The sequence below is a fragment of the Homo sapiens genome, chromosome 5 (genome assembly GCF_000001405.40).
Source record: "Homo sapiens chromosome 5, GRCh38.p14 Primary Assembly".
Lineage (NCBI taxonomy): Eukaryota > Metazoa > Chordata > Mammalia > Primates > Hominidae > Homo > Homo sapiens.
In genome coordinates, this window is record NC_000005.10 from 65,268,667 (window position 1) to 65,286,437 (window position 17,771).

The following is a 17,771-nucleotide window of genomic DNA, read 5'->3' on the forward strand; positions in this document are numbered from 1 at the left end:
GGCTGTAATAGCGATGTCAGACCCCCCAGGACTCACGCAAAGATCAGTTTTTAATTTTTTGGCCATATTTCTTACTCCATCTGTTAAATGTGCATGGAACAGTTCCCATACTTACATGGAACATTTGTGGAACTGCGCCCCTGGGCAGGGATCCCATATCTTTTGCAGCCAGAGTTTGACGAGATCATCATGGATTCAATCCTCTGGATATGTCTATGCTATCACTCGAGCAGTATTTCTACCCCCTCCCTTTTAAAAAAAGATTTATTCAGAAAACTATGAGCAGCTTTGGTTTTATTCTGCTGGCTAGACAGTGTATAGGTTCTTTCCTGTTCCTTCTGGTGAGAGTAGTTTTGAAACTCAGAGTTAAGACCAGAGGTTGTGAATATTTCATCCATTTCTCGGAGACACACAAACTCATGCTTATACTCTCTACTGCCAGCTAAGGCAGTCTGCCAAAGAATTTTCTGCCCACCATCATTTAAGGTTGGCAAATAACAATGAAAAGTATTGATGATACTCTAGTAATATGTTAGCACTTTCCCTCTGAGGAGGCCCGCAAAAAGCTCACTGAAATATTATCTAATTCTATCCTTATATTATCTCTACGAAATATATAGAAATTGGTTGTCTCCCATTTTAGAGATTCATTATTTTACCAATTGTCACACAATCATATATGCTTAGCTCAATGTTCTACTCACATTGCTTTCTTATTGTGATTCCTAAAAGGAAACACTGTTTACAGGTAGAAAAATGAAAAATCTGTTTAGTACTAAAGGGCGAAATACACTGTCACCACCTAGATTAGGCTTAGTGACCCACTTGATTCCCGTGACAATGAAAAATTGCTTTTTTACTTTGCAAAATTTCTCATGTGAAGATAAAGTAAAATTAGAGTCAGCATAGAGAGGCAAAGATTTCAACTCTGAAATTAGAAAGACCTGGGCTGAAATGTCAGCTATGCCATTAAATTACTGTTCAATTTAGGGCTAGTAAGTCTTATTTTTCTCTTCTGTAAAATGGAGTTAAAACTGTACCTACCTCATATGATTTCTCTTAATATTAAACATAAGAATGATTGTAAAGTACTTAGCAACATGTGATGGGCATAGTGTAAGTACTTTTTTTTTTTTTTTTTTTGAGATGGAGTCTTGCTCTGTTGCCCAGGCTGGAGGGCAATGGCGTGCAATCTTGTCTCACTGCAACCTCCGCCTCCTGGGTTCAAGTGATCCTCCTGTCTCAGGCTCCTGAGTAGCTGGGACTACAGGTGCCTGCCACCATGCCCGGCTAATTTTTGTATTTTTAGTAGAGACAGGGTTTCACCATGTTGGCCAGGCTAGTCTTGAACTCCTGACCTAAGGTGATCAGCCCACCTAGGCTTCCCAAAGTGCTGGGATTGTAGGCATAAGCCACCAGGCCCGGCCGTAAGTACTTCTTAAATATTCATCATCTTTGTCATTATTGTTACTGGGATGTCAATTATTTTTAGATGGCAAGTATACAAACTAACCACAGAAAGTTGACCAGATTAATTGAAAATTCCACTTTAATTTTGTCAATAGCTCTTTGCAGGGCTGTTTTGCTCTGGGTCAAAATTCTGAGGTCTGGTTTACTTTCCAAATATTATAGCCCTAAGGGCAAAATCTCCATTTGGCAACAGTAAATATTCTTCCTTCTTAAGGAGAAAAAAATAACAAAAATTAACAACAAAAATTCATACAAGAGGTAACATGGTCAATACAGTTAGTAAAAGATAAAAAATAAAGAAGTGTTTTGCTCACGTGTCTAGTTCTTTTTGTTTGTTTTTTCTTAAAAATGCAGGCTGATTTAGTTTTCTGAAAGCTTCTTCATAAGTTCAAAGTTAATAAGGTTATTCTGAGGACCATCTACTGCTCTATCCTTTTCCTTTCTAGGAATCTGCATTTGTATTTTTTTCATTCATTTATTCATTCTTTTTAAGACTTATTAGTGTCATTCCTAAAACTTTATCTATCTTCCAGGTCTCTGGAAAAACAACAAAGATTTGTTTTGTAGATAAGTTTTAGACAGTGATATCCGCTATATTGGCCTTATGATAGTACACTCTTATGTTGTGAATATAAATGACCCCTTGACATATAAACTTTGCCATATTTACAAGGTTTTTAAATAGTTTTTCATGGAGGCCTTTGGAGGTATGTCAGAAGCTGGCAAAGGTCCAAAGACAGGGTAAAGGGCAGGCAAGAGGCTTTTTAAACCAGAGCATTTCCATTTTTTTCAAATGTATATATATTAGAATTCTATAGACTTCATTTAAAGAAAGGGTTTATGGATCAAAAAGTTGATGATTAACCTAGATTAAGAAGGTGAATCTTTAGAAATCAAATATATTTTGCCCCATTTTATCACTTTCTCTTGTCTGTGATCATTCTTATTTGTGCTTAGAAGTAATTATATTTGGCTGGGCACGGTGGCTCACACCTATAATCCCAGCACTTTGGGAGGCCGAGGTGGGCGGATCACAAGGTCAGGAGATGGAGACCAGCCTGGCCAAAGTGGTGAAACCCCATCTCTACTAAAAATACAAAAATTAGCTGGGCATGGTGGTATGTGCCTGTAATCCCAGCTACTCAGGCAGCAGAATTGCTTAAATCCAGGAGGTGAAGGTTGCAGTGAGCCGAGATAGTGCCACTGCACTCCAGCCTGGTGACAGAGCTATACTCCGTCTAAAAAAAAAAAAAAAAAAAAAACACAAATTACATTTCCTCTCTATTTGCTTATTGAAATTTAAATTCAATACCATTAGCTTTAAAATTGTCTGAGAGTATTTCTAGTTATCCCTCAAATTGTAATTTCCAAGAAATTTATCATCTCTATCATATATACGCACATATATGCTATAAGATATGACATTTGATGGCCCTGCTTTAAGCACAAATGATCAGTATTAAATACGTATTTACAATATAATTTACTGGTGGAGCTGAGCTATGTGTTCTCAGATAGCCACTACTAGTGGTTTACTGTGGACCATGAACTTGATCATGAGAATAATAATAAATCAATGGCAAATAAAGAAACAGATTCTCCCTGTGACTCTCCCTCTTTATGGTTGTGTATTTCTTCTAAGTAGAGACTGAGGTAAATTGACAAGAATTATTGGTTCCAAAGTAAATATGGATTGTTGTTTCAAGAATGCAATTCCTAATATTTTCTATTACTTTAGTGAAAAAAAATAGAAGGAATTTTTGGTAGTGCATGAATTTCTTTGTATTTTTATTGGCTACTTACAATATCTTAAAAAAAAAGATTCTAAATCCTTTTTCAATTACCCTATCAGTTCATATATTTAGCATAATTTACCAACATTTCCAAACTTAGCATGGAAAAGCCATCAACATGGCACTAGGTCATGGGTCCTGAATGAAGCCGTCAGCAAGGATTAATAAACTGTGACAGCTGCCCAAAAGCTTTCATTCTTTTTTACTTAAACATCAGATTGCAAGCTGAAACTCAGCATAATCCTTGTTGAAACTAGCCCAGCTAACATGGAAGAAGTCAGAACTGAGAACAGATGACAGTAATAGTTATTGCAAATTCAGTCTATAGAAATAAATTCTAGAATTTAAATTTACATAAATAGCAATTCCTATAAAATTTTAAGAGTAGTACACAAACTGCTACTATCTGTTTCAACAATTGTTGTTGTTTTTCCTTTTTTTAGAGACAGAGTCTCTCACTTTGTTGCATAGGATGGACTCGAATTTCTAGGCTTGAGTGATCCTCCCACTCGAGCTTCCCACTTAGCTGGGACTACAGGGGCGGGCCACTGTGCCAAGCATGTTTAAATAAGTCTTAATAATTATATTTTTGAAAGCTAGATTGATGAATCTAAAATTATTTGCTCTAATTTCTATGTTCAATAAATTATTTAATTATTATTTTTCTACTAGTCCCTTCTCTCATACTGCAATCTAAAAGTGACTTTAGATGGGGTGTGGTAGCTCATGCCTATAGTCCCAGCACTTTGGGAGGCTGAGGTGGGCAGATCACTTGAGCTCAGGAGTTCGAGACCAGCCCGGGCAACATGGTGAAACCCCGTCTCTACCGAAAAATACAAAAATTAGCTGGGCGTGGTGGTGTGTACCTGTAGTCCCAGCTACTTAGGAGGCTGAGGTGGGAGGATTGCTTGAGCCCCAGAGGTGGAGGTTGCAGTGAGCCAAGATCGTACCCCTGCACTACAGCCTGAGCAACAAAATGAGACCATGAGACCCTGTCTCAAAAAAAAAAAAAAAAGTGACTTTAGTAATACTATAGTTATAAAGTCTACTTCTGGGTTGCATAATTTTCCGGGGAATTATTTACCAGAAAAACTAGACTATGTTATATGAGTAAACAGACTACATTACATAACAAAAAGATTGTTGTTGCATTACTTTTGGTACAAATATAACATACATATACCAAAATAAAGGTGAAACTGACCTAAAATAGACTTACCAACTGTAATTTCCTAAATAATGCATATTTGCAGCTACCAAGGTATGACAATTAACCTATTGTTCTAGGAATTAATTATTTTCAAGTAGATTTTAAATGAATATATAAGACTTCCTGGTGGTTGAATATCAGTACCAGCAATTTATCACTTTTGTATACATGTCAAACAGGTAGTAAATCATTGAGCTTACCCCTTTTTCAATATTCCCAGTTTGACACAGTGTCCCCTCAGCTGCTGGAATACTGTTGGTGACACAGCGGTTGCTTTTGCTGAGACACCAGAGCTCTCTACACACTTCCTAGGAAAGAAGGCAAAAGCAAGTTGATCAGAAATAGAGTCATGTCCAATTCTTCCATAAAATACACTTACAGTCACTCTGCATTACTTTCAAGAGACCCTGGGTACCTTTTGCTGCTGAAGCATCGCAGTTGAGGATTTTGGAGGAGGTTTTTATGAAACATCTTGCAGTATCATTTAACTATTTGTCTTTGCAATTCTTATTTTAGCAGATAAAGTATATCTTAGCTTTTAATATTAGTTAGGATCTTTTTACAATAGTGTATAGAAATTTCATTAATATAGATGAATAGGGAGAAAAAAATGACTATGTAGAAAGGAAATATATGTTTATTACACTCAAGAATATACAATAATACAAACTTACCAATTACTAATAAAGAGATGCCAGGAAAATGACTTCTTAGATCTACCATAATATTCAAATGAAGACAATTTTAAAACAGGAAAATAGACCATGGAATGGATAAGAATTTAATGTATGAATTTTTTAAATTTTGAAGTATATTTTGGAGTAATTTTTAACATTCATATACGCCTAGGCACAATCTAACAACGTTATTTTCAGTACATCAATTTAGCCTACCTCCATGAAAGGAAACTTGGTTTTGAACAAATGCTGCTGTTTATAGAATGCTTTGGGTATGTTGTGTGGAGTTGTCTCCTTTCCTATGATTTTCCATTATCCTACCTCAGCATAGGAAAATTACAACACTTATTCTAATATTGACAATATAAAATACTTTTTTGTTAATACTATATTAACATATCAGATTTTAAAATAAGCCGTTCAATATTATTCCTACATAAAGGGTTTCAACCGCCCCCAAAAAGCTTCCTTTTGAAGAAAATAGTCAAATTTTCAGTTTATTTTTATATATAATCACCAACTAGCATCATTACCAATGTTACAAGTTTTTAACTTAAGCTAGAACTTAGTATAATATATATTTATAATAAAAATGATTATCTGAAATGCAAAAGTAAACTAACATCACATTTAATCCTTTTGCTTTTATTCCTCAACTGATCTTTTAACTCCCAAAACATAAGAACTCACATTACAAACACAATCAGAATTAAGGCAATGAAATATCGATGTCACTGGTTAACTGGTCCTACAAATGGAAGTGCCCCACAGAGTATAAAAAATTGAGGGGATCTCTTTGGGTTCCTCTTTAGGGTGCCTCCTACCAGGCAGAGAGGAGATATATAGTGTCTATTAAGGTTTTTGTTTGTTTGTTTGTTTGTTTTCTGAGACAGAGTCTCACTGTGTCACCTAGGCTGGAGTGCGGTGGCACAATCTCAGCTCACTGCAACCTCCACCTCCTGGGTTCAAGCGACTCTCTTGCCTCAGCCTCCCAAGTAGCTGGGACTACAGGCACCCGCCACCATGCCCAGCTAATTTTTGTATTTTCAGTAGAGACAGGGTTTCACGATGTTGGCCAGGCTGGTCTTGAACTCCTGACCTCGTGATCTGCCCCCACTTGGCCTCCCAAAGTGCTGAGATTACAGGCGTGAGCCACCGTGCCTGGTCCTATTAGGCTTTTAAATACCTAAAAATGTTTAAACTCCATTTGGAGAACTAGTGGCCTAGAGAGACAAAATATTAGAAAAGAAGAGCATGGGCCAGGCGCAGTGGCTGATGCCTGTAATCCCACAGTTTAGGAGGTCGAGGTGGGAAGATCGCTTGAGCCCAAGAGTTAGAAGTTGCAGTGAACTGCACCATTGCACTCCAGCCTGGATGACAGAATGAGGCTCTGTGTCAAAAAAAAAAAAAAAAAAAAAAAAAAAAAGGAAAGAAAGAGAGAGAGAGGTAGGGAGGGAGGGAAAGGAAGGAAGGAAGTTAGGAGGGAAGGGATGGAAAGAAAGAGAGAGAGACAGAGAGAAATGAAGAAAGAAAGAAGAGAAAGAAAGAAAGAAAGAAAGAAAGAAAGAAAGAAAGAAAGAAAGAAAGAAAGAAAGAAAGAAAAGAAAGAAAGAAAGAAAAGAAAAAAGAAAGAGAAAGAAAGAAAGAAAGAGAAAGAAAGGGATCATGTACTGTGGATCATAACATAAACATAAAACGTTCTCATGTTTACGATCCAATATTACAAATTCACTTTTCTTTCAAAGCTTTAGTTTATGTTTTAAGAGGTTATTTATACTACTTTACTCTTTTTCTATAGAAGAAGGTTTTTAAACCTGCAGGTTCTGCACATGTATCCCAGAACTTAAAGTAAAATAAAAACAAATAAATAAGTAAAATAAAAATAAAATAAATAAAAAGATGGTTTTTTAGTTTATATTCCTTAATATATTCTTGTAGTTTAATATTTAAAAAGCAGTAAGAGTAACATTTAAGGGCTTTGAAATATTGCTCCATGTATCAAAAATCTATCCAAATTCAAGGAAAAATGTGTTCATAAAAACAGAGGACCATTAATAGAGATTAATATAAAGATTATGAAAAATTTTCATCCATAGTCCTGGATGATACTCCTGATCTTTTGTGATCTTTATTAGGTTGCATTCTTACTTTAGACAAAGGTAAAAGAAGCCTAAAGTTTACTTTAGACAAAACTAAGCGATGAAAGTTCTATTATTGAAAAAGACGATACTTATTGCATCTATCAGGAAAACACACTATTTAGTCAGGTTACAGAAACTTTATTTTCCAAAAGTGCCTTGAAAATCTCTACCCAAAGTAGCAGGTGCTTAAGATACTTTTTTCAAAACCTTAATCTGAAGATTCACAATAGAGCCCTCTTACCTTTTAGAGAATGATGCATTTTGAAAACTAGATCTCCACTTCTAATGCATTTTGTTACCTTGGTGGGCTCCTGGGGATTCAAATTTTGTTACCATATTAACTTCTCTTTTACAGTAAAATCACTGTTTAAAGTATGGGAGTGGAATTCTATGTTGAGGAACACTCCCAAAATGTAGAACTAGTCATGGAGAAGGCTCTGAAGAGTTTTCAGATAGATCTTGCAATTTGAATCTCAACTTGAATAAGAAAGATACTGGTATCCAATTTCGGAATGTTTCCCAAGACTTTTTTTTCTTTTAAAGGATACTCTCTTGAAAGATAAAAAGAAAATTTCATTTCATACCAAGTAAACAAGAAGTAGACTTCCTAAATGAACTTGAGATCAATTCCACACTTTCAGAAATACACTTCTTTCTCTAAACTGCTAAATCCTAGAACATGGATGATATATTTGCATAGGTATGTCAGTTTCATTTGCACATGCATATTAGTTGCTGAATAAGCAGCCTAACATAGGTTCCAGGCTCTAATAAAGTTAAATGGATGCTGAAATTGTTTGCCTCTTGGGGAATTTGCATGGCAACCATCATAGTAGGCAGATTTCCCTAAATAAAATATAGGAGGTGCTGAAGTATAGTGAGAAAGAATGATTTTCTTTTTTTCTTTTTACTATCCACCAGCTTAGCTCTAGCTCTCTTTCACATACTCATGAATCCTGATAGAAGTTAAGATTTATTAAGATTAGTTTCATAACCTCTGTGAATTAATAAATCAGCACCTGTGTGTTAGAATCCCCTTGATAATCCTAAATTTTGTTTTGGGAAGGCTCTGTAAGGGAAATTTGGGTCTTTGTGCTTGCTCTTGAGTTTAAGGAAGGAGAGAGAAGTTATCCACAGTCCCCACTAAAGGACATTTCTGTTATATGACACTGTAAATTTGAATTGGAATCTCTAATGTTATGGGGTCAACTTCCAATCAGTTAGGAGGAATGCCTGGCAATACAAAAGTAATAGCTTTTTCCCAACTCATTCTAGAATATTTATCAAGAATCTGCTATGCACCAGGCATTATGTTGGTTTTATAAAAAAATAATAATCACTTAGAATTCATGGGCACTTCAGAGGAAAATGTAGGTTATAGTCAGACATGTAGCCCAAATGGCATGGATTGGTATTGCTCTATGATAAAGTTTTTAATGTTCTTTGACAAAATTAGAAGGATGATGTCAATGTGAACAGGTGCTTGCTTTATTTCGTTTTGAGGTCTCACTGCAACCTTGAACTCCTGGGCTCAAGAGATCCTCCTGCCTCGGCCTTCCAAAGTGTTGGGATTACAGGTGTTAGCCACCATACCAAGACTGGACAGTTTTTTTTTTTTCCATAAAACTAATGCTTTTTATTTTAATGGACTGTCCTTATTTGTTAAGTTGTAATTTTTTACTTTATTGGTGTTACAGTAGACTGTAAAATTCCCAAGGGCAGGGTCTGTATGCTTATGGCACGCTTTGCAAAATGTTCCTTTCTGGCAAAATTAAGAATTGAAATCTCTATCCTTGTCTGCTAGTTTTTAGAAGGGAATTTTCCTTGCCTACAAAAGTCTAAAAGTTTCTGAATGACCCGCTGCCCAAGACTTTTTTTTAAATTTTTTATTTCAATAACGTTTGGGGTACAAGTGGTTTTTTGTTACATGGATGAATTATACCGTGGTGAATTTTGAGATTTTAGTGCACCTCTCACCTGAGTAGTGTACACTGTAACTAATATGTAGTTTACCTCTAGACCCCTCCCACCCTCCCCCTTGAGTCTCTAAAGTCCATTATATCACTCTGTATGCCTCGGTATACTCATAGCTTAGCTCCCACTTATAAGTGAGAACATACAATGTTTGGTTTTCCACTCTTGTGTTACTTCACTTAGAATAATGGCCTCCAGCTCCATTCAAGCTGCTGCAAGACATACTTTGATCCCTTTATGGCTGAGTAGTATTCCACAAGGTGTATATACCAGTTTCTTTGTTCACTCATTAGTCGATGGGCACTTAGATTGGTTCCACATCTTTGCAATTGTGAATTGTGCTGCTATAAATATACATATACGTGTGCAAGAGTCTTTTCCATATAATGACTTCTTTTCCTTTGGGTAGATACCCAGTAGTGGGATTGCTAGATCAAAAGGCAGACCTACTTTTAACTCTTTAAGGAATCTCCTTTATGCTTTCCATTGAGGTACTAATTTACATGTCCATCAGCAATGTGTAAGTGTTCCCTTTCCCTCACATCCATGACAACATCTATTGTTTTTTGACTTTTTAATAATGTCAATTCTTGCAGGAGTAAGGTGGTATCTCACTGTGGTTTTAATTTGCATTTCCCTGATGATTAGTGATGTTGAGCATTTTTTCCATTGCCCAAGACTTGATAGTCAATGTTTGTTTAGTTGTATCTGTGTTTACCAGTGCTTTTAATGCCAATTTCTTCTTATATCTTACCACTATCTTCTGAATCCAATTTCTTTCTTTTTGACATACATCCATTAGCAGTTAATTTAGCAAGGGACACTTTTTCATATTTTTCTGAAAATATCTTAATTGTATTCTCATTTTTTAATGATATTTAAATTGAATATACTAGGCTGACATTTATCTTACCTTAGCATTTGAAGGTGTTAAAATTCATCGTCATTTGACTTCTGTGGAGGCTGATGAAAAGTCACTTGTCAGTCTAACTGCTGTTTCTTCTTTACAGTCTTTTTTTTTTTTTTTTTTGAGGCAGGGTCTCACTCTGTAGCCCAGGCTGAAGTGTAGTGGTGTGAACATGGCTCACTGCAGCCTTGACTTCCCAGGCTCAAGTGATCCTCCCACCTCATCCCCCAAAGTAGCTGGGACTACAAGCACATGCCACCACGCTCAGCTAGTTTTTGTATTTTTTGGTAGACACAGAGTTTCACCATGTTGCTCAAGCTGGTCTTGAACTCCTGAGCTCAAGGAATCCTCCTGCCTTGGTCTCTCAAAGCACTGGGATTACAGGCATGAGCCACCGTACCCGACCTTTGTAGTCTTTCTTGTTGCTTCCAATTTTTTTCTCTATCTGCTTTGGGACAATTTCATCACTGTATCTTTTATTTATTTATTTTTTTGTGAGACATAGTCTCGTTCTGTCACCCGGGCTAGAGTGCAATGGTGCCATCTAGGCTCACTGCAACCTCCGCCTCCCGGGTTCAAGCAAATCTCCTGCCTCAGCCTCCTGAGTAGCTGGGATTACAGGCGCCTGCCACCATGCCTGGCTAATTTTTGTATTTTTGGTAGAGACAGGGTTTCACCACATTGGCCAGGCTGTTCTTGAGCTCCTGACCTCAAGTGATCTGCCTGCCTCGGCCTCCCAAAGTGCTGGGATTACAGGCATGAGCCACTCTGCCTGGGCTTCATTACTATATCTAAGTGTTCTTTTTATTTATCTACTTGAGATTCATGCTCTGATTTCTATGTCTTTCTTTGATTCTAAAAAACTATTAGTTATTATCTCTTTTAATGTGTATCTTTCCTATTCTTTCTTCTAAAGCTCCTATTTAACTTAAGTTAGACCTTCTCATTTCAACCACCTATTTCTTAACCTCTCTTAGATATTTCCCTATCTTTTTCTCTTGGATCATTAATCTTCCTATCTGTCAACTTCATGGTGGATTGTTTCCTCGTGTTGTTTGTTATTTTGTATTCAAGCTTATCTTCAGTGAATATTATTTTTTCTTTGCGTATTCTGTGCCTCTTGAATTGTAGAAGTGCACCTTCATTTATTTCTATCACACATCCCAAGGTTTTCACTGAACCAATTTGTCATGTTGATTTATTTGGTCAGCACCATGTAGGCTGTATATGGTTTTACTTTGTTCTTATGTGAGGCACAAGCCTGGGGCTTCAGTTTCTTATGGGAGCCATTTTTTGCCTCATTAAAGCATTTGCACAGTTAAATCTCTGCTGGCATTTGTTCCCAGCATCCCAATCAGCTGATCCTTTGCAGCCTTAATCTCTGTGGTTTGTAATGCTTCCTTCTTAGAGACATTGGCTTTTGAGGACATTTGCCTCCAATAGAAACCTCTTTCATAAAAATTAAGAATTGGATCCAGACTTTAGCTTTATCAATCAACTTTTAAACTATAACACAAATGATACAAAAGATGTGTATCTTCACAGCTTCATCATCTGCCCTCATGGCTGCAATAAAGAGCTTAGTGTTTTGGAAATAAAGCCACTAAGCCAACCACCATGTTGAATTATAAAAAGACCTTTCTTTAGGCCTTTCTAAGAGTCTTTAATGCTATAGACTATATCTTTAAATATGAGAAAGCTTGCCCGATAGCTTCAAATCATTAATATACTAGGAAACATTCACACATGAAAAAAACAAGGCTTGTGCATTATACTGGCATCATTCCTCAACTGTTCCTATGTCCTTTCTGATCACATAAGTACATGTTGTAGCTAAATGAACTAAATTTAGTTGAGTTTATTAGTTTTATTTTATCTAGCATTCTTGTTTTCATACCTGAAGGAATGATTGTGTTTACTATTTGTCCTGTTGTTGAAACTGGAACTATTTTCCTAGAGTTTAGAAAGTCAATTTTATAAATGACTGGGGAAAAAATATGCAGGACAACCTAGAGGAGAAGTCAGTTCAATCAATGCGTAAAAGCAGATTTCAGTTCTATATACAGAAGAATCTTCCAAAAGTCAGAGTGAACCATGATGAACTAAAACTGAATCCCCATCACTGTAGATACTTCAGCACATATTTCATGATCACTTAGGGATCATGTAGGGATGTTGTAGGCAGGAATAAAAGAAAGGAACTAATTTTTTTTCAGGGTATACTATCAACAACTATGCCAGGCATATTCATATTTGTATCTCATTTATTCATCATGGTAATCTCTTTAGAAAATGTGAGAAACTTTAGGTTCAGAATAATTTAGCAATTTGTTTCAGTTCTAACTAGATGTAGATTTGAATCAGCTCTGTTCGATATCAATGTCCCAGATAATCACCACACACCTAAGCTACTTTCCCATTTCTCTTAAATGTATCAGAACTGAAAAATGTCACTGGCCAATTAAGGCTGATTAGTAATGGTTTACTTTTGTATTCCAATAAAATATAAAACCTCACTAAACTTAATACCCTCCTATTTTTTACTTTGATTTTAACGGACAATATCTCCAAATTATAACTATTATATACTAATTTATAACATCTTCACTCAATATATGAGTTTAGGAATCAACTTATGCATTATTATTACTGAACTTCCAAATGTAATATCAACACTTGGGTGTGGATTTTAAAAAGATACTGTTAACATATTTCACAAAAGTGTTTCAAGGTCTTCCAAGAAACAAGACATTTAAAAATACTCCTACTTATTTAAAATTTTAGTATCAATTCACAGATTTTTGGTTTACATGAGTTTTGAAATGAACAACACTATTTGTAAATATTAACAATAATTTAAAATATTAACAAATATAAGTGGGTAATAAAAATATATTTAGAAAACAGTTTTATGGTAATCATCTAATGTAAAATAACTTACCTAATATGCAGAAAATAACCTTGTAAAGAACTAAAATAGGGCTTTTTTGATCAGAATGGAATGATTGTTTCACAAAGAGTATAATTTCTAAAAATTGTTAGAATTACCTTTTCTAATGTTTTCATTATTTTTAAGAAACTATATACGTTAAACCAGACTAAAAAATGGGAAGAGAAACTCTTCTATTTACCGAGGAAAATTAAAATTAGCAGCTTACACAAGGGGAGGAGGTGACATCATGAAAGAATAAAATCATTTTACAATTATTATATCATTAAGGAAAGCAGTATGTGAAGAGAAAATGGTGTCTTTATTGTGTCGGCAAAAAAGTGTCAAACTCTGTAAAATATTTGAAGAGATTTATTCTAGGTCAAATATGAGTCATCAATGGCCCATGACATGGCCCCAGGAGATCCTAAGAACATATGCCCAAGGTGGTCAGGCTACAGCTTGGTTTTATACATTTTAAGGGGTGGGGAGTTCCAGGTCATAGATGGAGTAGAAGATTTTCTGATTGGCAGTTGGTTGAAAGAGTTATTATCTAAAGACCTGGAATCAATAGAAGAGAATGTCTGGGTTAGGATAAGGAATTGTGAAAATCAAGGTTCTTATTATGCAGATGAAGCCTCCAGGTAGCAGGCTTCCCAGAGAGAATAGTTTGTAAATGTTTCTTATTAGACTTAAAAAGGTGCCAGACTCCCAGTTAATTCTCTGCTGGATCAGGGAAAAGACCTGGAAAGGGAAGGGGATTCTCAGCAGAATGTGTCTTCTCCCTACAAGAGACAGCTCTACAGGGCCGCTTCAACATATGCCAAATAAATAGATTTTAGGGTAAAATTTTTCCATTTCTTTCGGGGCCTGCTATCCGTCATGTGATGCTATACGAGAGTCAGGTTGGAATTTGGTATCTTATTGCTACAAAGAGTCTGTTTCATCAATCTTAAGATCTCTGTTTTAATGATAATGTTGGTCAGCTGTACCTTCCAAAGAGAGGACGGTATAATGAGGTATGTCTGACCCCACCTTCCCATCGTGGCCTCAACTAGATTTTCAGGTTTACTTTGGAATAACCTTGGCCAAGAAGGAAGGTGGGGTCTAACGGTTGAGGAGCTTAGGATTTTATTGTTGGTTTACAGCTGCTGGCTGGCTTTAAAATTTTTTTAAAATGAAGTTTAAAGACTAAAAAAGAGACATGCGCACACTTTTGGCCCTTGGGAAACTCTAAATTCTAGGCATGTTGGGTCCTTGATTCTAAATATGAAACATCCTCTTTGTCCACATTAGCCTATCAGTAACACCTCTCAACAGCTGCTTGCAATAAAGGATCCTGAAGGTAAAGAGGGAGAGCAGAGCCCTAAAGGTCAGGAAGGGGCATCAGTGCTTAGAAAGGTTACTTATCATTTGATCACACAAAGGAAAATTGAAAACCAACATATGGTGACCTTATGGCCTAGTTTCAGGTGTTTAGTAGCCATCTGAAGAAAGAGGATAATGTACCCTTATTTTTGCCTTAAATAGTTTAATCCTGTTATGTTACGGGTAATGGGAAATTTAAGTACAACAGATCCTAGAATGGCAAAAAACCAAAAACTAAACTAAAAAAACCCTTAATCCACAAATCCCATTTATATAACTAATCACCAACTTAAAAGTATTCAAAACTGACTAAATGGTTAAAAAAAAGAAAAGAAAAGAAAAAACCTCTAAGAAGCAAATGCAGGGTAAAAACTAGTAATCTTTAAAGATACAAGTGATCATGGACTTATGATTTTAGCTTAGAATTTAAGAAAAAAATCAAATAAACTTCTTGTCAAGTATATGCCTGATAAATATATGTTTGGATTTCAAAAGAATATTGAGGTGCTAAAATAATTACACACCTTTTATTCCCTAAACCTGTATAAAACAACACTGTAGAATATTTATACCACCTTAAAATCTTCAAGGAAAGTGTGATTCTATAATCTTTCTCAGTTTAACATTCCAATATTTAATAACTTGAAATTCTTCCTAATACCTAATCTACAACCTTCCAGCTGTAAAAATTAAGACAACTGTGGGATATTTTATGCTCTTGGTAGGGAAGCAGAACAATTTGTTACCAGCAATCAAACTGTAATAAGTGTTCCAAAACCAGAAAATGGTTTTTGAGGCCAACATTTAGCTTTCTTTTTTACAGGCTACTCAAACTCATTTTCTCATTCCCTTATATGTACTTCTCAGTATTTCCCTGCTATCCTCTCCCAAGTTGTCTGTATCTCTTAAAAAAGTTGTATAGGTGGCCAGTGATATCCCCAAAAGACTCGTACAACTAACATACAATTATATGAAAGAATGATTCTCAATAACAATGCAATAATAACTGAATCTTTTTTAATTGGTGGTGATAAAATAATAAAATAAACAAAAGGGAATAAGCATGAGTCTGAGAGACAAAGCATGTCAGTTTTTATTAAATACTCTCCAGGGAAAGGATACCTTGATCAGAGAACTCAACTATCTTGTCTCTAGCAGTTACCCTGACATCAAAGAGCTATATTCAGGTAGGCACAGCTTGATGGCATTATTATTATAGTTATTAATTAATATATTAAGAAAATAATCTATGCACTACCCCATATTTTTATTCAAGGCTTACTGAATAATTTTTCAATAATAAATTGGCCTACTGGGTAGGTTTGTTTCAGTGAGAAAATATGCAGATTTCAATGGAATTGAATGAATATAAACTATGTGGCTAGATTTCTTACTATAAATTAATAAATCCAAATTTATATCTATATTTACTCTCTTGATCTTCATTTCTAATATTAAATCCTAAAAGTCTCTTATCACTTAAAGTTTGGAACAAATATGGCACTCAACCACTTGTAGATTATTCTATCATTAATCATCTAATTGAGGTAAGTAGAAGAGAAAACTTTCAAGTTTGGTGATCTGTAAGTAAAATATAACAATGGTCACAAATGTATTTCCACTGGAAAGAGTAAAAATTAATGTGAAGTCTTAAAGTTATGTCATATTCTCCTTTTATAAGTTATGTTTCCACTACAACACACTGGGATTCTGCAATCTTAAATCAAAATTATGGAGCCCACACACCTTTACACACAAACACCTCCATTCATCTCATTTCAGAGTTATAAGCACCCTCTAGTATAAAAAGAATAAATTCTATATTTACCTATAAAAGTAAGGACATTGCTACACTGGAGAATCATTAGTGGCAGAGCTGTTTTAGTACTCTGCGTAGGCTGTGTTTGGAGGGCAAGAGAAAAGGGAAAAGAGGACACCACAGATCACTTTATAAAAGCCTTTAATTTTCTAACATGGGTTTTCCAGATTACAGAATTACATTTGTTTCCTAAGACATAATATGCCTTAGACATTATGTTATTTTCTGGCATCTTGCTGCTTTTAAGATAGAAACTTAACGTGGCCTATAAGGTGCAGTTACACTTGGCTTCTACCTTTTTCTCCTGTTTCTTTTGTGTGGTGTTTATTTGAGAGCACTGGGCACAGTGGCTTTCTCTCACCTCTTCAAATACACAGGCTCTCGGTCTTCCCAAAGGTCCTCTCTCCACTCTCTTCACCAGATAACTCTTCTCACTCATCTATTTGTCAAATATTTATTGAGTTCCCATATGCCAGGCATTGAACTAGTCACTACACAAATAGCCATAAACAAGTCAGGTGGAATCCTTCCCCTCATGGCAGTTACACTCCCATTATAATTATCAGCTCATTCATTCAACAAATATTAATTGAGCACCTACCATGAGCCAGGCACTGTTCTAGCCACTGGGGATACAGCTGTGAATCAGACAAAATATCTGCCCCCAAGGAAAATACTTTCTAGGGGGGAAAGTAGTAATAAGCAAGATAAACAAGTAAAATAGATAGTATGTCAGGAAATGATAAATGTTAAGGAAAATGATAGGAAGTGTGTGTGTATGTGTCTGTGTGTGCACGTGGATGTACAATATTAAGTAATGTTGTTAGAAAAGGCCTCATTTACATGATCACACTTAATAAGTAACCAAATAAGCAACATGATTATGGATTTCTAAAAGTGCTATGAAAGTAATAAACAGTATAATGTGAAACAGAGTAACTGAGGAAAGCCTTTTTAATAGCGAATGATCAGACAGAAGGCCTGTCGGAAGAGAAACTGGCATTTGAGCTGAGACTGAAGAGTGAAATTGAGTCAGTATGTGCGCCTTGGAATATCTTAACATGCTCCCCAAAGTACAAAAGGTTCAGATTCTCCTAAAGCAGTACCAGCATTATCAGCTATACCGAAATGTTATCACGGATGACAGAGGTTCATAGAGGAAATGAAAACATTTATTGAATGTCATGTGCCAGGTAAATAAAAGACAATTTGCATGCTTGTCATACCTTTTTGCTGTCTGAAGTTTACAAGAACAACCTGGCTGCTGTTCGCTGAAAAAAGTGCCCAAAACTGAGTAAAATCTATTAATGGTCAATTTTAGGTCATAGTAATAGTTTATGGTGAACAGATTTTTTTTTATTTAAAATATTCTGATAAAAATATGCTGTTCCATCCATCATGACACCATGTATTAGCTCATGTGTTCCCATTTATGGTTCAGGATATATGGCCTACTGATAAAACATTCTTCAGTTCTACATTT

At 35.6% G+C, this 17,771-nt stretch overlaps 1 protein-coding gene across 15 annotated transcripts in view; it reads right to left on the minus strand.

The window, feature by feature from the left end:
• ADAMTS6 (ADAM metallopeptidase with thrombospondin type 1 motif 6) overlaps positions 1–17,771 on the minus strand; it is a 333,183-nt gene that overhangs the window by 119,929 nt on the left and 195,483 nt on the right. For 13 of the 15 annotated variants that reach the window (XR_007058575.1, XR_007058576.1, XM_011543117.3 and 10 more), the window contains one exon: positions 4,674–4,781. Coding sequence is in view for 12 of the 15 variants with exons in the window: in XM_011543117.3 (XP_011541419.1) it covers positions 4,674–4,781 (108 nt within the window). In the remaining 3 variants the exon portion in view is untranslated. The remainder of the gene's footprint in view (positions 1–4,673; positions 4,782–17,771) is intronic. The other 2 variants (NR_135689.2, XM_047416675.1) reach the window with 1 other exon arrangement.